This window comes from Homo sapiens, chromosome 2, assembly GCF_000001405.40.
Source record: "Homo sapiens chromosome 2, GRCh38.p14 Primary Assembly".
NCBI lineage: Eukaryota > Metazoa > Chordata > Mammalia > Primates > Hominidae > Homo > Homo sapiens.
In genome coordinates, this window is record NC_000002.12 from 184,282,762 (window position 1) to 184,303,473 (window position 20,712).

The window sequence follows — 20,712 nt, forward strand, 5'->3', positions numbered from 1 at the left end:
ACACATGTACATGTGTTCTTATTGCAGCACTATTCACAATAGCAAAGACTTGGAACCAACCCAAATGTCCATCAATGATAGACTGAATAAAGAAAATGTGGCATATACACACCATGGAATACTATGTAGCCATAAAAAAATAGGTTCATGTCCTTTGCAGGGACATGGATGAACCTGGAAACCATCATTCTCAGCAAACTAACACAGGAACAGAAAACCAAACACCACATGTTCTCACTCATAAGTGGGAGCTGAACAATGAGAACACATGGGCACAGGGAAGGGAACATCAACACCAAGGCCTGTTAGGGGTTGGGGGGCTATTGGGAGGGATAGCATTAGGAGAAGTACCTAATGTAGATGACAGGTTGGTTCAGTAAAACACCATGGCATGTGTATACCTATGTAACAAACCTGCATGTTCTGCACATGTATCCCAGAACTTAAAGCATAATGAAAAAAAAAAATCCAAACCACACAAAAAAATTAAAACAAAATGAAGCAAAACATGTATAGCTAGCATGGAATGAAAAATGAAGAACAGCTGAGTTTCAAAACTGGAGCTGGCACTGAGACTTGCCCAGGAAGGAAGCAAATACTCAAAATGTGTCTCTCAGGGGCCATCTGATCATATATGTATCTCACTAGGAATCTTGTCTCCTCTCATTCCTTTTCTACTCACTTAAATAAAAATATCTTGTAGAGAAGATCTTTATTTTTTTACAACTTTATTTTATTTTATTCTATTTATTTTTTAAATTATACTTTAAGTTCTGGGATACATGTGCAGAACGTGCAGGTTTGTTACATAGGTATACACATGCCATGGTGGTTTGCTGCACTCATCAACCCATCACCTACACTGGGTATTTCTCCTAATACTATCCCTCACCTTGCCCCCCACACCCCGAAAAGCCCCAGTGTGTCATGTTTGCCTCCCTGTGTCCATGTGTTTTCATTGTTCAACTCCCACTTATAAGTGAGAACATTAGGTGTTCGGTTTTCTATTCCAGTGTTAGTTTTCTAGAATGACGGTTCCATCTTCATCCATGTCCCTGCAAAGGACATGAACTCATTCTTTTTTATGGCTGCATAGTATTCCATGGTGTATATGTGACACATTTTCTTTATCCAGTCTATCATTAATGGGCATTAGGGTTGGTTCCAAGACTTTGCTATTGTAAATAGTGCTGCAGTAAACATATGTGTACATGTGTCTTTATAGTAGAATGATTTATAATCCTTTGGGTATATACCCAGTAATGGGATTGCTGGGTCAAATGGTATGTCTGGTTCCAGATCCTTGAGGAATTGCCACACTGTCTTCCACAATGGTTGAACTAATTTACACTCCCACCAACAGTGTAAAAATGTTCCTGTTTCTTCACATCCTCTCCAGCGTCTGTTGTTTCCTGACATTTTAATGTTCACCATTCTAACTGGCGTGAGATGGTATCTCATTGTGGTTTTGATTTGCATTTCTCTAATGACCAGGGATGATGAGCTTTTTTTCATAAGTTTGTTGGCCGCATAAATGTCTTCTTTTGAGAAGTGTCTTCATAACCTTTGCCCACTTTTCCATGGTGTTGTTTATTTTTTCTTGTAAATTTGTTTAATTTCTTTGCTGGATATTAGCCCTTTGTCAGATGGATAGATGGCAAAATTTTTCTCCTATTCTGTAGGTTGCCTGTTCACTCAGATGATAGTTTGTTTTGCTGTGTGGAAGCTCTTTAGTTTAATTAGATCCCATTTGTCAATTTTGTCTTTTGTTGCCATCGCTTTTGGTGTTTCAGTTATGAAGTCTTTGCCCTTGCCTATGTCCTGAATGGTATTGCCTATGTTTTCTTCTAGGGTTTTTATAATTTTAGGTCTTACGTGTAGGTCTTTCAATAGATGCTGAAAAGGCCTTTGATAAAATTCAACATCCCTTCATGCCAAAAACTCTCAATAAAATAGGTATTGATGGAACGTATCTCAAAATAATAAGAACTATTTATAACAAATCCACAGCCAATATTGTACTAAATGGGCAAAATCTGGAAGTATTCTCTTTGACAGCAGGCACAAGACAAGGATGCCCTCTTTCACCACTCCTATTTAATATAGTATTGGACGTTCTGGCCAGGGCCATCAAGCAACAGAAAGAAAACGTATTTAAATAGGAAAAGAGAAAGTCAAATTGTCTTTGTTTGCAGATGACATGATTGTATATTTAGAAAACCCCATTGTCTCAGCCCAAAATCTCCTTAAGCTGTTAAGCAACTTCAGCAAAATCTCAGGATACAAAATCAATTTTCAAAAATCACAAGTGTTCCTATACACCAATAATAGGCAAACAGAGAGCCAAATCATGAGTGAACTCTCATTCACAATTGCTACAAAGAGAATAAAACACCTAGGAATACAACTTACAAGGGATGTGAAGGACCTCTTCAAGGAGAACTACAAACCACTGCTCAAGGAAATAAGACTTGAGGACACAAACAAATGGAAAAACATTCCATGCTCATAGATAGGAAGAATCAATATTGTGGACATGGCCATACTGCTCAAAGTAATTTATAGATTCAATGCTGTTCCTATCAAGCTACCATTATTTACTTTCTTCACAGAATTAGAAAAAACTACTTTAAATCTCATATGGAATCAAAAAAGAGCCCATATAGCCAAGACAATCCTAATCAAAATGAACAAAGCTGGAGGCATCACACTACCTGACTTCAAACTATACTACAAGGCTGCAGTAACCAAAGCATCACAGCACTGGTACCAAAACCAATATATAAACCAATGGAACACATCAGAGGCCTCAGAAATAGTGCCACATACCTACATCCATCTGATCTTTGACAAATCTGACAAAAACAAGCAACGGGGAAAGGCTTCCCTATTTAATAAATGGCGTTGGCAAAACTGGCTAGCCATATGCAAAAAAAATTGAAACTGAAACTAAGCCCCTTCCTTACACCTTATACAAAGATCTTTATTTCTTTTAAGCTTCCTGCTAAATAATGCTAGGATGGTATCTCAGATCAGTAGACATTTATTTATATTTTCAAAGAAAACCTAGGACCTTTCAAGGAGTAGAAAGCATGAATAAACTCATTACATGATACTTTCCTCTTACAAGGCCACTAAAGATAGATAAACAGAAGAGCAAACATAAATTGTATTATTGTTCTAACCTGAAAGAGAAATCCAAAAAGGCAAAGAGTATTGCTATGAAATATTCATCGCCATTCTTGTTAACATTCCTCAGACACAAAATGCCACTTTCTCTCCTTACCACAGAAAAGCAGTGGTATAATATAAAATCAATTTAACTATTATTGAAATTAGTAAATTCTCCAAGGTTTTCTTTTTTATCAGAAATTATATAAATACTGCTTTTGAATCATAACTACTACTCTTCTATCATTTTAGAGGTTCATAACTAGGTGGGATGTTAGGTTTGAGTGGAGAAGTGTCACAACTGGGTAAGGAAAAATGTATACAAATAATTGCTGCACTTTTAAGTCAGGATAGAGCATGTGATAAATGTGAAAAGCAAAGAAATGAAATTGCATTAAGAGTCTCTTCTTGTATTGAAAGAAACACTTAGAAAATGCTTAACATTCATGTAAGACAAGCTGCGTGTCATTATTTGATCAATTAAAGCAGTTATTTCTGATATTAACATATTTTATAGCTATAAATAGTTTTCCTTTTTTTTTTTGCTAACTCAAAGGAGAGCAGGGTATTTTTTAAAATGCGTGTCCCACAGTGTATCTCAAAAGTGCTTACTAGTTAGACAAAAATCACAATAATCCTTAGATCCTAGGCTATCAGAAAGGTTTGTAGTCACCAAGAGACTTGCAAAATATTTTTGGAATTATCTGTGTTTTGCAGATGCTCTTAAGCCACAGAGAAAATTATATATTGGGAAATTTATATCCCATAAAGGATTGTGTAGCTGAGAAACTGGATTGCATGACTGACCAGGATTTAGGTAAAATCCAAGTACACCTCATCTGTGTGAGATCATCTGCCAGTCTCTGCATAGCAAGTGCATTTCACTCAACTTCCTGTCCATGTTGGCTGAGGTGTTTTATCTGAGAGACATATGTAGGTCCCGGGGGCCTGATCCTAGGGGTCCAGCTAGAGGGAAATAAAGACAAAATGAATATTTAAGTTTTGGGGGCATTCTTAAATTGGGTCTCAGGGAAGTTTGTGTTAAACTGCTTAGCAATTGTGATAGAATAAAGTATTTCTAAGAAAACTAATATGCTTTTTTTCAGAGGTTTCTGAAGTTATAGATAACAATGTAGTAACTACCCCTATCAGAGTATACAAAAAGGAAAAGACAACAAATATTTTCCAAAACTCTAGTAGATCAATATTTTCATACCTCTGGTATTTAGTTAAAATTAGAAGATATAGAGTTTTCCACATAATTAAGAAAACGCTTTTTCATTAAAATAGGTATATATGTACTAGAAGATTTAAAAACATGTAAAATAAACAACTAAACAAATCTTTGGTGTATTTAGGTTAAGATAAATCTTAAGAACACTTTATTTTAAATAAATGAAATTCAAACACTAAGAATTACATTGATTTATTTGTTTGGTAAACAAAATCCACATCGTGGGGGAGGGAAATCAAAATAAAACAACACTATGCTGACTGTAAAATGATGTTTAAGTACTTGACAGGTTAATATGTATAAACCATCACTTACTCTTTAATTTTCAGTATAGTCATTGTTTTATGACTTTATAAAAATATATAAAATAATGTTTTATAAACCTTGAAACTAACTCAAGCATGGATAAAAATAAGCTACACAGCATATTCAAGGTGCCTTATCTTCAGGTATCAGAAGCTTGTGGGAGGACACAGCGGGGGGAAAGGTAAGAGATAAAACATATAGAAAATATGCAATGCCAATTGAGCCTGTAATCTTTGCCTAAAAACTCAAATCAGCAAGATAATTTACTAAAGAGAAAAGCTGATTTTCCTTATTAAGTGAAAATAGATGATTTTGATTTTGTACATTTCTTCTTAAACAGTTTCCTCGCCCCACCCCCATTAACTTCTTGGTTTGTTTGTCAGCACTATCTTATATCAAACATAATTATTTTTTATTTCAACGTATTTTTCCATTCTATTTTCAATTACATATCAAATATAATTTATCCAACACCTTAACATGATTAGTTTATTTCCACTTTATTAGCAATACAAATTAAGCACAGCATTTTGTCAATATTTCTGCTACTACTAAGTATATCATTATGCAATATTTCTAGTCCTTTGAGGAAGTTTGGTTCTGTATTATTTAAGGTCCCAGTAGGAAACAGCACACTCGAAATTGAATGATTAAATGAGAGTTTACTAACAAAGAGTCATTTCTAATGATGTAATCTCAGGAGAAACTGAAGAAAAAAATAATTATTTTCTGTCACCCCCAACCCCTGCCTGATAGGACAGGGAAAGAAAAATTGCCAGAAACTGGAAAGAAAAAGACTTGTTTAGAGAAGGTCACCTTTGAGAGACCAAATCATTCTGCTGAGGACAAGGTCAACCAAGGTGACACCACAGAGAAGAAACAAAGGGGGTTAAATACCCTGACTTCACTCTTCATCTTCTCCAGACTGAACCTCTCTTAACTTTTTGGTAAGAATTATCCAAAACTTAGAAATTAAGCAAGAGAAAGACTGAGAATCTCTTCAATTTCATATTGGGGTATTATTTAACAAGTCCTTCTAAGAATTATTTATTTTTTTAGGAGCATAGAGCAGTAATTGATCTTACTATTTGCTACTAATTATAGGCCCAGACTATGTGAATCTGGATGTTAAGTTGCAGATTTTTGTCTGGTGGAGATCAAGTTATTTTTGTCTGATAGCAAAGATAACCTCTAGTTGTATTTCCCTGTATGATGTTCTTACTGGTTTTCATTTTAATTATTGAGTTGACAAATATCATTGGCACTTTTCTGTTATATTTCCATTTTTAACCGAATCTGATCAGAAACGAGGAAGCACAGCAGCCCTGTTAATGATCAGGTCAGTCTCAAGAGCAGAAAGTAGGGTGGAGAAGGATGGATCATACATCTGAAAGAGCAAATGGAAGATATTCTACCAAGTTACAATTTTTGATCTGATGTTATTTTTTCCTGAATATGACTAATCGAGTCATGAATACATTTTAAAATTACTGTGAGTAGATATTTTTGTACAAAGAGATCATAGACACATACCACTAAAGCCCATGGGAGGAAGATAAAAATTATGACTTATTAGGAGAAAATATTACAAATAGTAAAATATCTATTAAATATAATATACATTATAATATAGTTATATATTGTATATAATAAATATTATGATACAAAATATGTACCCTGCTTTCTGACTTGCCTCTCTGTTTCAGAGCAGAAACAGTAAATCCTAGAAAATAGGCCTCCTTCTATATCATTTTTCCTGAATTCTTGATGCCTATTATGTTAATGGTGAATAAGTTATATTACAACTTCTTTCTCTAAGATCCAAGTGAACCATAGTTTTTATTCCGATGCATCACTTATGTGGATTAAAGCTTTAGGTTTGTTCATCTTGAATGGTTTATTCAAGTCATTTGTAGGGTGTTTGATATATATGAATGTGATTCCTTTTTATAGGCCATTTATTATTTATAACATTTGCAACATACTATATAGCGCACTTGTAGTGTGGAAGAAGTTGCTCTCTGAACTGTTCAGAGAGACTTAGAAAAATACACGGTAATGTAACTAAAGAAGGACCTCCATTTTTCTAGATAGTGTAGATTCTTTCCTCATAAGAAATATGTAAAAGACAAATCCACTTGGGTTTATATTTCACACAATTGCTTTAGTTTAAAAAAGGTTATTTTAAATACTATTTTAATAATTTATACTACTTGCTAATGTGGGTAACTTGTTGAATCTGTTATGCTTTATATACCCATAGCACAATTCAGCTAGTAAAATAAGCCTACTTTTTGCTTTTGATGGATACAAGTGTCTTGAACCTCAGAATAGCATTCACCATAAAATGCTGTTATAACCTTTGTGCATAGAGAGACATTTACTCATTCTGAATAAATGATTAAATATAATAATATGCATAATATATTTGAATAAGATAAACCTGATAGTACTAGATATTTCTAAATTGTTTTGAGACATAGGTTTTAGTTTTAGTTTTGTACTTTTTTTCCAGACCAAACTAATTTATTCAAAATTACTTCAAAAAATTTTAGTAATGTTTATTTTGTGCAATATAAATGCACATGTGAATATAATATACATGTGCATATATATTCTATACTATACACATACAATATAAATGTAAATGTGAATGTTGACCTAAATATAAAATCAACCATTGTCTGTGGTGCTCTAGTATCTCTTTTAGTCAAGGAGAGTTAAAAATCAATATGTGGTCCTTAGGCTTACATAGCAGAATAGACTATTAATCTTTTCCAGTGCACATACTCTATAATCCAGTATATTTTTAATGCAATTTACTTTTAATTTACTTTATGCATTTGTCTGAAGTGCTTTGCATAAATTATGTATGATAATCAATACCTTGGGAATAGTACTGAAAAAATAAAGAAGCAGAAACTCTAATAGCATATTTCACATGCAAGCACTTTATTTCTAATATCCTTCTATAATATCATGTGGACTATTTAATAATGGAGTCTAGGTATATGCTCATCTACATTTTGCATAGTAAGATTTATCCTCACTGCAAACTTTTTATAAAATTCTAAAAGTACTTACATTTTACAAGGTGCCTTATGTCAAAAAATCTGTCCCCTGCATATACCTAAGTTTACAAAATCTACCTGTCTTCATATTCTCAATCCCCTTCACCAAGATTCCATGACAGAAATTGTAGGTATCAAAGTGCCTGTCTCAATTTATTAGAAAACAGTTGGAACTATGGGCTCATAAATGTGGGACCATAAATATTTGGAAAGTTAGAATGAGGGAAGAACCAATGAGTGGTCATTAGAGTTGAGTAGTTAAGTGTTTTAAGTGGTTAATAATAGCACACATTAATTATTGAAGGACACTGTAGATCAGTTTCATAGGTGACATATACTGAGAAGAATATTTCCAACAGGTAATAGTGACATAGGGATAATATATAGCCTATACAAGAAACTCTTACAAAAATGCAAAAAAGAGGATAAGTATTAGGCAAAAGATATAAACACGTAGTTTACAGGAAAAGGGACACAGAACACTAACAAGAAAATAAATGGATATTTATAGTGATACTACGTTTTTCAGAAGTGCTAAATAAAACATTGATATTACTTTACTCATTTTAAATTTAAAAGCCGGATTATGACTAATTTAAAGCTCTGCAATAAAAGAGGAAAGACTTTTAAACTTCATATTTCCTTGTGCCTTTGTATTGGGTACAATCATCTCTATGTCAATTGGGAACATCTTAGGAAAATTAAAGATAGGCATACCCTGGGATACAGTAATCTCATACCCAGGTAGAATGAAATATTAAGAAAATCTTATTTGGATTTTGAAAATTATATATACATCAGTATTAATTGGAGTGCTATTAAAGGCGGCTACGCTTTGAAGACAATCTTGCTAAACTGGGACAGTTGATAGTAAAACACAGTGAATATAAACATGAAATGTTTTGCTGTGTTTAGAAGTAACAAGTTGGACATATACATAGCAATATGAAAGGATATTTAAATATCATATTTATGACAGCATTAAATGCTTCAAAACATAGGAATCTAACAAAATATGTACAGGATCACCATACAGGAAACAAATAAGCAGAAATCATTGAGAGGAATTAAATATTGAGATGACTTAGACTGATTCAGTTATATACCATAACCATGGGTTGGAAACTCAATAGTAGAAATATTAAATTGACCTATATACTAATACAATCTCATACAAAGTCAATAAATTTTAATTTATTGTTCTTTTTTGTGAAAATATATAAGCTGATTCTAAAAATTGTATGTAAAAGAATAGGGCCAATAGTAAGTAAAATAATGTGAAATTAGAATAATTTTGAATACATACTCTTATTAGATGTTAAGACAATAAAATATTATAATAATTAAAACAATGTGGTATTATTGAAAGGCTTAATATACAGACTAACAGAAAAAAATAGAGTCCAGAAATCAACTTACACATATATGTTTTCCTCACTATGACAATTTGGCACTACAGTGCTGTGGAGACAAAAAACATCTTTTCAACACACTTTGCTAGATCAGTTGAATCCATAAGTCAGAGTAACAAATTTAACCCTCTGCCTCATAGCCTTATACTATATGCAAACAATAAATCCTAGATGTGAAGGGAATAATAATATATGCAGACACACGCACATAAAGATGAACACACATTTTTCCCAGAAGAATATGTACAAATCTGTCTTCTGAATTTCTGTAAGACTTCTTAAATAGGACAGAAAATTCACTAACCATAAAGAAACAAACTCATATATTATACGGTACTAAAATTAAGAACATCTGTTACTTAAAAGAGACATTAAACATGGGAAAATTCAAATCATAAAGGTAGGAGAAGACATTTGGCATACACATATTTAACAAAATATTCATATCCAGAAAAGAGTTATTAAGACAAAGACAGCACTTATTAATGAGCCAGAGACTTGGACATGCACTTAAATGTGCATGTAGATACCCAATAGTTACATTAAAGGATTCCCGACTTCATTGATCATTTGGGAAATAAATATTATAAACAAAAAAATTATAAAAACAATACCAAATGTTGTCAAAAATCTGGAAAAAGTGGAACACTTACATATCTTCTGTTAAGAACAAAAAAGTAGCACAATTTTGGAATATTCTTTTAAAGTACCTATAAAGCTTAACATTTGCCTATCCTATGAACTAGCAATTCAACTCTCATATATAACAGAAATTCATTTATATGTTCACCAAAGGAGGAATGTTCATGCTGCCATGAAACATAAATCACCCAAAGGTCTATAAACATTAGAATGGGTAAACATATTTTGGAGTAGTCATAAAATTATATATGTAATTTTATATGTTGATGTATGTATAATTATATATAATATTATACATGTAAATATTCATAACAATGAAAATGAACAAGCAATTACTGCATTCAACAAAATAAATGACTACCACAAACATAATTTTTAGCAAATGAAATCAGACACAAATGAGTCTAAACTGCAAAAATCCCAAAAATAAAAATAAATTGTATATGCAATTTTGTATATGCAATTAGTTGTTATGATAATGGTTACCTTTCAGAGGGTCAAATAACTGGGAAGCTATATGAGGCTGGCTTCCAGAGTGTTGAAATGTCCTCTTTCTTCATCTTCATGCTGTTTACAGCATTATGTGTGTTTTGAGAAAATTCATTAAGTTGTCCATTTATGTTACATATACTTTTCTAAAAGTATACTGCAACTTAATTTAAAAAGAAATGTTTATTTAAAGGCAGTGCTTTAGAAAATTGGAACATGTGCATTGCTGGGGTAATGTAAAATGATGCAGCTACTGTGGAAAATGGTACAGCAATTCCTCAAAAAATTAAGCATAGAGTTACCATGTGATCCAGAAATTCCGCTACTGGGTGTATACCTTAAAAAAGTGAAAGCAGGGATTTGAACAGATATTTGTACTCCCGTGTTCATAGCAGCGTTATTCACAGCAGGCAAAAGCCGGAAGCAATTAATGGATAAACAAAATGTGGCATATACGACACACAGTGAAATATTATTCACCACTGTTACCGAGCTTCTAAATTTCCCTTGCCTTAGAGGTCCTCAGAAACACTGAAAAGGACCAGGGGAATATTGTTTAAGGAGCTGATTTGAAATAGTTGAGTAATTTGGTGATTTATTATTAAAGACATAATAGTGTGTATTTTCGTGCTGATAACTTTAGTTTGGATATTCTCTAAGCAATATGTATAGAAAAGCCTAATTTGGATAAAAAATAGTGAATAGCAAAATAAAATTCTTGGAGCTTTATTTATTTATTCAGTTCGTTAGTTTTTCAGCTAGTATTTATTGAACTTTGACTATAAAAACTATGTTAAAACTATCTCTTTTAAATAGCACTTTTTATTTTTAAATTTAAATCATATTAAATCTGAAAATATATGCTTAGCATATACTATACAATGAGAAGTTTGTTGTACTTGCTGATTTATAAAAACCATTGGAAGACAGCTTTTATAGCAAAGGAGTTTATTACATTTTGAGATTATAGATTAGTGGAAAAATGAGAGAGATCACCTATATGGGAAAGATTTGACAAATATAAATTTGCTCTATCAGTTTGTAGAGTTTTTTTTCTTTTTTATTTTTTTTTGGGTGGGAAGAGAGGTAAACACATAAAAATCAATTTGGTGGCATCACTGTATTTTTTTGGAGATGCCACGTGGTATGACACTTCTTTCTTTTATGATTCTTTTATAAATATCAGAATTTTACCTTTAATAAACAGTAACAAAGCTTACATTGAGAAAGTGCATTTCTTAGATATAAAACACATTGTGAAGTTAACATTTGACAATTAACTGGTACGTGTTGGACAGGTGCTTATCAGTTACAGCAATTTAGGTTAGAAGAAGAACAATAAAGCAAAAGAAAGAAGAGAAGCAAAAAATCTGCTTATGTGGGAAGAGTTATGTGGGATAACTACGGAAATGTAATAACTATGTAAAGGGAGTCAGGTTGAACTTCAATGCTGCGTCATTTCAAAAATAAAATTTTAGGAATCTTGTTATTCATTTCTTTTATTCCATTGAAGTAAATAAATTTTCATGTAAAGTTATAACTCCATTTTATTTGGAAATGTTATCATTTTATATGAAATAATGATATAGCTTATATATATAGTTTTTTATATATTTGTCTGTTATTTTATATACATATATGTATATGTCTGGGTATAAAACGATTGGTAAAGTGAAAAAAATAATAGTTTGATTCTTTCCCTTTAAGTGGTGGTAGAAGCCCAAATATGTTTCTAACTAATCAACAGTAAAATTAGTTTCCACCCAGAAGGTATTAAGCAAAGATGCAGCAGGCTGTTTGCCTGAGATTAAAACTTTGGTGAGCCAAATCCAGTAAACGTGAATATAAGAACACAGTTTTCCTTGCTAGCCTTTAAAACTGTCATCTGGTTTTTTGCCATGGCTTTAAAGAGACTTGCTCAGTTGCTTCTAGTCCAGATGTTCCCAGTAATAGCAATTCCCCATTGTGTTTTCTTTGATTCTCTCCTTAATTACTCGTGGGGGTGGGATTTATAAAGTACATACAGTACACTGTAGTTCAGAATTAGACTTAATCATCATTATTATTTTATGCACTTTAAGGACCAGTTTCAAACTGTACCAAATCCTCACTCACTGGCTGATGCAGTAAATTGGTCTCTAATATAAAGTGGGAACTTGGAAGTAGAAATGGGCATTACTTGCTTTAAGATTTTTTTCTTTTTTGCATTTTCTCCAAGTGCACATGTCAGGGGGTTGACTGTGTCTTCTGATTTGGGGTTTGCCAATTGTTTAAAAATCATTCTTTAGTTCTCTTTCCCCTCTCCTTAAGTGCTCCTGTGATAAAAGATCACATGGCAAATAGCAGTTACTCTAAAAATCACTTTAAGCATGATATAAAATGAAGTATATTACATTAGAGCTGATTGCCTCACTTTTAATTTTTTTTTTTTTTTTTTTTACATTTTAAAATCTAATTTTACATGTTTTTCTACTTTTCCTGTATGGTTTCTGACCATTCTTTCTACTCTACTTCTTTCTGTGTTTCTCAAGATTTTCTTCCTAGCAAATTTTTGCATTAAAATAAATCCTAGGAAACATTCAATTACTCTCCCAATGTTGCTGATGAATTCCAAACTTAACGTCTTCTGTTCTCATGCGGTACTTACTTTTTATTCAGTTACATGTTTTGTCCTCAGCCTAAGATGATCATGTCCAAAAGTGAAATTAATGTATTTCCTGCCCATATTGGTTTTATTCTAAAATTATCCCCACTTAAGTCATTGGTGCATACTTTATTATTCAAAGTTAGAGATCCTCACATCTTTTCTGCCTTTCCTTGCTTTCATTTTTTTCCCCTAAATATTTCTGGAGGAAAGTAAAATGTTTTTTCCTTTCAGCACCTTTTGGGGCTGTGCCCCTGTCTTTCCTCTCTCTTCACCATCCTGATTCTCATTTTCATAACCCCATCCTATGATTCTTCTTCAAGCCCCCTAGAAAAAGTTCCTAGGCCAACTTATTTGAAAGCACTAGTGAATTTTTTTTTCTAAATATGCCTTTACCCTATCACTTCCCTTCTGAAGATATAAAAACTCTGTTGTCTGGCATTTAAGACTCTATAAATGTGTTCCTTGGTATTTATTCACCTTTATCCTATACTATATGGGAGCTGCCTTATTTGGAGAGATTACTCAGCAACTCATCTCTTTTGCTCAGTATATACATTATCATGTCTTACAAGATATTTGCATTTTTTTATTTTTAAGCCTTTAGATGTTTTCTTTCCCTGATTGAAACATTATTCATTCTCTAAATCCCAGATTAAACTCTGCCTTCTTCATGTAATTCTCTTTGAGCTACTGTTCTTTACTTTTTGCAACCTGCATTGCAGTTACAATCAGTATCAATTTGTGTTACTTCATTATTTCCTTCCTCATTTCACAGTATTTTATCAGATTGATGGCTACATCAAAATAGAGAGCACATAATTTCTTCTTTTGTTCCCCTACAGAGTATATCATGTGCTATGTATAAGGACTCTTAAAGTAGTCTTTATCAAATTAGCAATTCGATTATTTTTGTTTAGACTCTCGTTTATATACACCAGCAATCCACCACTTATACTGGAATTTTGGAAATTTTAGTCTAGAAGGCAGTCAGTGTACATATCACAGAGAAAATATATCTTTGGCAGTTTACAAGTGACATTCTTGTTTATATAGCACATTCTGAGATGAGATATGTTCTTACAAGAGAAAAAATTATGTTGACTATGAGAGATCAAAATGAAGATCAATGCTCATATTTATCTCCGCCTCCTTTCAACATAATACATCTTTAAATTATTATAGCATTTTTGTTAACGTAAGGGTCCCCAGCTAGCAACTGAGTATGCCTAACAGTCCTCTAGTGAACTTTGGATTCCAGAAGGTCAAGAATTATATATTCACCAGTAGTTTTCAGAGGGTATAAAAAATAAAAATTAATTATTGCTGCACAGGTGATAAATTTAATGTAAAACTGTCTCCAAATCTTCAGTTGTGTTATTGAAAATGAAAGGCAACTAGGTGATGGGACACATAAGAGAAGGGAAATGTTTACCTTAACTTTCCAAGCATGCACATAGTTTTGGACTTCAAAACAGTTATGCTGCTCAGTATTATTCATTCCTCAGATAACTTTCATAAATCAGTGCATGAATACAAACAAGGCTCAGGGCTGTGTGGTGGATATTCCAGGTTAATAAATATATTGGACATAGCTGGATATGAATAAAATTTGACTTAATGATGCATTCCAGAAATGACATAACTTTTACAACACTATTTGCATTTATGACCAATTGTGATTAATTATTTTCCAAGTCTACCAAGGATTTATTCGTAAGTCTGTCATTTCATCGACAATGCTAAGAAGGCATTTTGAGAAGGGAGTTGTGTATCACACCTTATATCATTATGGACTGGAGACAGAGAATGTTTTTATATAAATTCTAAGAATGCTTCTTATTGTGAAGGTAAAATAGAAATTCTAATAATTCAAGCAAAACAGTGCAAGATGTCTTCTCAGCAAGTGATTTCAAAATATCACTGTCATCCTCACTGGATACACCAGACCGCTTGACCCTGAATATTGCTGGGCCAACATGAGTAGTAGCTCTGACTGTGATGGGGGCAGAGACAACAAAAGGGCTAAGATGAAACACATGGCTTTCGTAACCAACATTACATCAGTGTTAAGTTATTGGTATAAGAGTATGTATAAATAGAATTAAAGAATAATAAAAAAAACTCATATTATTTTCTGCCTTTTTATTTGCAAAAAACTGGGGAAAAGACATGTGCACATTGGAAAAATGATTAAAGATACTATTTATGACCCTGTCACTAGAAAGATAATCAGTCTCGTTATGTTTATTAGACATAAATCTTTCCATCACAAGAAATCAACATTCTGCTTATGAAGCAACATATACGAAGAGGATTGCCTATGTTTGATAGTATTCTCAAATGTAAAGTAAAACCATTAGTGACCATATCAGACGTACCACTTACACTCCAACGCATATCCTCTCATCTCACCTTTTTATTCTAGCAATGGCAATGGAAACCAGCTGTATGCAAATGTAATCCAGCTTCAACTTGCTTAGCTGAATCATGTATATCTAGCTTTCTGCTCTGGGATTCTTGTCCACTACCATATGAGATTCTGACATGTATGCAAATCTACAATAGTGGGTGTGCTAATCCCTCATGGTGCAAACCTAGACTATTAGGTGATGGGATCTGGGAGATACTCACTTCTTTTGTTCTTTGGACAGACAATTGCATTATTATTTGTATAAATATCCTCAGAATTTCCCTAATGAGAATGAGCCCAGTTTTTCTGCAATGTTGGTCAACTTGAAAACCTACCATTTGATAACTTTTTCTTCTTTCCCATTTCAGTCTTTCCAGTTGTCCACTACTCTTTCCAGTCATCCACTACTCTTTCTCAAGATCACTTCCCCAAATAGCATAGCTGTATCTAGTCCTTAACTCAGTCTCAGTTTTTAGATGGAAGCAAAGATATACATTTCTAATAAAATGGCTTCATTAAAAAGCTACAAATTAATTTAAAAATTTATTTTAGAGAAGTAAGAAAAATCATATGACTCTTCTGTGTAACATTTTATGCTTGATTATTGAAAACACTTTTAAAAAATGATCAAAACTAACTAAAGTAGATATTGCTGAAGGAAGAATAAATGTATCAAATAAATTATTTGATTTTCAAAAGTATTTTGATCATTTCAAAATAAGAACACTAATGGCATGCTTACCATGCTCTAATGATGTATTTTAATGATACAAATAATGACTCTGCTATAATTATTTGTTCCAAGGTTGATAGCTCACTCAGTGCATAAAATGCATATTACTACATGTAGTAGCTCAGGAAACAGCATGTAGCAAACACTTGTTGAATCAGTTATTATAAATAACCTACAGTTTATAAGTGAATTCTAGTTAGGTTAGACATAACAACAACACTAGTGCCAACTCCTTGGGCATCCATTTGTTAAACCTGATAATTGGTTATTTACAAGAAAATCACTAGTACTGCCATTCTTCAATGAAGGAAATTTGCTACTTAACAAGAGTTCTCAAGGATCATGGTGAAAATATTCCAGGAAGTCATTTACCTGTCCAAGAAATATTGGTATTTGAATGTTTAGCTACCAAGTTTAAAAGATTCAAGCCTAAACTCAGGGGAGCACAATTTATTATTTTCAGGATGCAAGAGACCTTGAAAGAATGCCCTTTGACTCATTTAAGTGGCATAAACATAGCTGGAAAAGTTATTCTTGAAATTAACTTTGCCATACTTTAAGAACTTAAGTTGCAAATCACATATATCTCTGTGAAAGAGATGCACTTACATATCTTTTACACTTATGTACTGCTTAATTTATTCAAAAGTATCTATTTGATGCCTAATCCTATACTGTCACTATACCAGAAACTTGTGACACAGAAAAGAGGAAAATAGAGTACTTGTCCTTTAGAGGCTTGTTATCCAAAGAAGGATACTATAAGCATAATTACAATAAAAGTAATGAGTGCTTTAATACTTGTATGAAGTGTACTGTGGAAGCACAGGAGAGGAAATGACATTTTGCAAATACTACTTCTTATTTAGTTTCTTCATTAGCTTTTATTTTATGTTTAATTAAAATTTATTTTACTGCTATAGTTTGTAACAGACCTAGAGCATATCCTGTGAACATGAAATACCAAAGCAAAATCTAAATGCACTATTAGTTTATTTCTTAATTCTTTTACTCTGTTCTTTATGTTAATAGTTATTCTAGTTTGCTTTTAGTTTAGTGAGTTTTTTGAACTATTTTTGCTACATGTGATAAATATACTGGGTTTTGTAAATCCCCAAATATCAGTCTATTATAGTGCAAAGGGCATGAATTCAAACACAGGAAGCTCTAATTCTTATAATAATACTGCAGCAAATCCCCAAGTCACAGTGTTTCTGAATCTAAATTTTCTCATTCTTAAATTTTTTTAAAAAAGGTTAAATTTCAATGAGTTTGTGAAGATTAAAGTTCAATGGCTATAGGCTTGTGATGGGACTCAGCAAGCAGAATTTCAGCCAATTTTATTGCAACGTTGATAAAATTATAAAGGCATTTTTGTACTTTGTGAAAGCATTCAGCCTGGGTATAAAAAGAGCTTATGTTATGTGTTTTTGCTATAGAGTGACATAGGCTTTGAACACTCATAGGTTCAATTGGAACTCTAATCCAAGCATTGAATAGTTTATATTTTCACCTTTAATATTCTTTCTTATTCTACCATTCATTTTATTTTCTTTTTGCTCTTTTCACCATATCTAAATATAATATGTACATAATAAATCAGCTACAATATTCTTTTAAACTCAATTTTTAATAGTTTACTTAAAATTGTATAATATCCTTGAAATAAAAATAAGAGCAAGAAAGATGGTTATTGTTGATATTTTGGTTCTATTCAGTTATATCTAGAATAATAACCATATGATTTCTCTTTTCTTTTTCTTTTCTACATTATATAAATAGCATAAAATAAAAATTACATGCTAAGAATTTAAGGAACCACTTTCAAGCTTAATAAAAATGTGTACGTATTTTCTAAAAAAACTACTTTAATAAATATTATAAAATATCATATACATTTAAATATGTAGTTGAAGAAAACAAAATTTTAACTTTTGTATTCAAACATCCGGAGAAGTATGTCAAAGTTATATTTTAAAACAAATATATACATACATAGCTACATATACTTATTTAGCACACAAAAGGCCATTTTGATGAAAATGTGCTCTGGGAATTTGTAATTATTTGTAATGGTACTCATATATTTATAATCAGTTCTCATTATATTTCCATGGGAAAAACATAGTTTATAGCCTGTTAGCATCATTTAAACAATTTGATTATCTGAATATGTTTAATCAAATACAAAATTTAGATAAAATGCTAAGTTTAGAGAACAGAGACAATGGAATTTGCATATCATATATTTATCTATGAAACATATACACAAAAGAAGAGAAAATGATGTTCATATTTAGGAAGCAAGATAATACCATATCCTGAAACTTAGGGTAAGCAGTCTAAACTGTAAAGTAGTGACAGAGGAGCACAGGTATGTGTACCTGTGTATCTGCCAAAGCGTTGTTTATTTCATTCACAGATAAATCCCAACTGCCTGGAAAAAAGTGTCTGGCATGCAGAAGATGAATAAATATTTGTTGAAGAAATGAATGAATGAAGGCAGGTCACTGAAAGGGTAGATTCAAGATGATTTCATATAAGACTGCTTTACCATTTGACTTGTGTTGATATGCAAGTGGTGTGCATAGCTCAGTTCTTTAGCTGAATTATGATAGAACTGACAACATGCTTTTGTGATCTTTTTCAGATGAGCTTCCATAAAGGCTTAGCATGTTGTGTTTTGATAATGAGTCCTAAAATAAGCTCATGAGAAAGAGTCAGTGCTCATCTTGCCTGAGTTAAGTCTGCGGCTCAACTATTCTCTAATCACATTATTGAGATTTAATATGTGTGACATATTGGTTCTGAGAAAAGGTGACACCTTATACCATCACTTTCTTCCAATGCCTAGACTTAGAAGAATTAGAAATCTTGATTGTGCCTCATTATCTTGCCCAGTCAGTACTGAAGCTGCTGTTTCTTTTTTCTGAATATAATATCTGCTTTTTGACTGGTTCCAAACTCAAAAATTTGGATAATCATTACTATCTAAATCTGAGCAGAAAATAAATTAATACAGCAAAGTGAAAATAAAATGTTTTCAATTTTTACCGTCTGTACTAATTACATAACCTACTAGTTATGTTTTATATGTTATATCAACTTACAAAGTATGTTGACCTAATACATCTTATTTGAATCAGAGAACACAAATCATATAATGTAGATGGGAACACATTGGTTATTTTATAATCACATGGACAGGAATCCCTGTGGAATAAATCAAGGAAACTAATTTAGGAATAAATATTTACCAGAAGAGAGAGTTATATGCTTTTAGCACACAATACATAAAGACAAGAAAAGCTGCAAAATGAAGTAAAAAGATTTGTTTTTAATTCTGGATTTACATTTTATACTTGTGGGGTATGAGTAATCTGTTCATAAGCTTCATATATAAGATAGGGATAAATAATACCTATCTCACAGGATTTTGATTAGGATTAAATTATATAAGATATGACAAGTGCATAGCATATAGTAAGCATTCCACAAATAATAAAGCAAAACCAGAATAGTTCAAATTACAGGAGTATCCCCTTACCCTTGTGGGATACCTCCCAAGATCCTCAATGGACGCCAGAAATCTCTGATAGTATGGAACCCTGTATATACTATTTTTTTTCCTATACCTGTATAACTATGGAAATTTTAATTTATAAATTAGATACACCATTCTTGTGCTTTGGGGCCATTATTAAGTAAAATAAGGGTTACTTGAACATAAGCACTATGATACTACAATAGTCCTAAGTTTCTAAAGGTTAAGGGTTGTGGATGGCATGGATACATACACTGGACAAATAGATGATTCACAGCCTGGGAAGGATGGAGCAGGACTGTGAGAGATTTCATCATGCTACCCAGAATGGCTGCAATTTAAAACTTATAAATTGTTTATTTCTGGAGTTTTCCATTTAATACTTTTAAACTGAGGTTGACTGCAAGTAACAGAAACTACAGAAAGCAAGACCACAGATAAATGGGGGGACAGTGTACTACAGATCTTGGGAAAAAAAAACAGAAAAGAACTCCTCCAGGACATCACAGAATTCATTGGTGAAATATGTTTATTGCATTTATGGAAATATTTTTCTTTTTCATCAAAATGCTGATTACACTGTGAAGAATGCAAAAAAAGTGCTGTAAAATGTAAAATAAAATCTAATTTACTGTTTTCTACACCTTCATTACCCAAATATTTTATCTATCATTGCAACAAAAATGATGCTTAAAGCAGATTGTCTGTGATCCCTTTTTGTGCATAAACTTGTTCTCTACTAATCCTTGGATATATGTTACTGCATTCTAAGGTCCCTTTGTACATCTTAAAACAAGAGTTTAACCAAGGAGTTAGAGGCTTCATCTATTTGCGTATTTTCCTATTTTCAAGTCTTTGTATATTTCAAGAGAGAGAATAAAATTTTGAATAAAAATGTAACTTCCATAATTGTAATTATTCAAAATGTGTTTAATTTTTCAGATTGTAAAACTCAGAAGTATAATATCCTTGGCACTAAGGTAATGAATTTGAGCATTTCTTGGAACCCAAAAATGTATGCTTGTTGTTTTCTTAGTATGCTTTCATATTTAC

At 32.1% G+C, this 20,712-nt stretch overlaps 2 long non-coding RNA genes across 4 annotated transcripts in view; one reads left to right on the forward strand and one right to left on the reverse strand.

Annotated features, from left to right (window-relative positions):
- LOC102724340 (uncharacterized) overlaps positions 1-20,712 on the forward strand; it is a 246,221-nt gene that overhangs the window by 92,492 nt on the left and 133,017 nt on the right. The window lies entirely within an intron of this gene.
- The window catches only part of LOC105373776 (uncharacterized), a 116,629-nt gene that overhangs the window by 4,002 nt on the left and 91,915 nt on the right, over positions 1-20,712 (reverse strand). The window contains exon 3 of the long non-coding RNA XR_923650.3: positions 9,202-9,243. This is a non-coding gene — a long non-coding RNA (uncharacterized LOC105373776). The remainder of the gene's footprint in view (positions 1-9,201; positions 9,244-20,712) is intronic.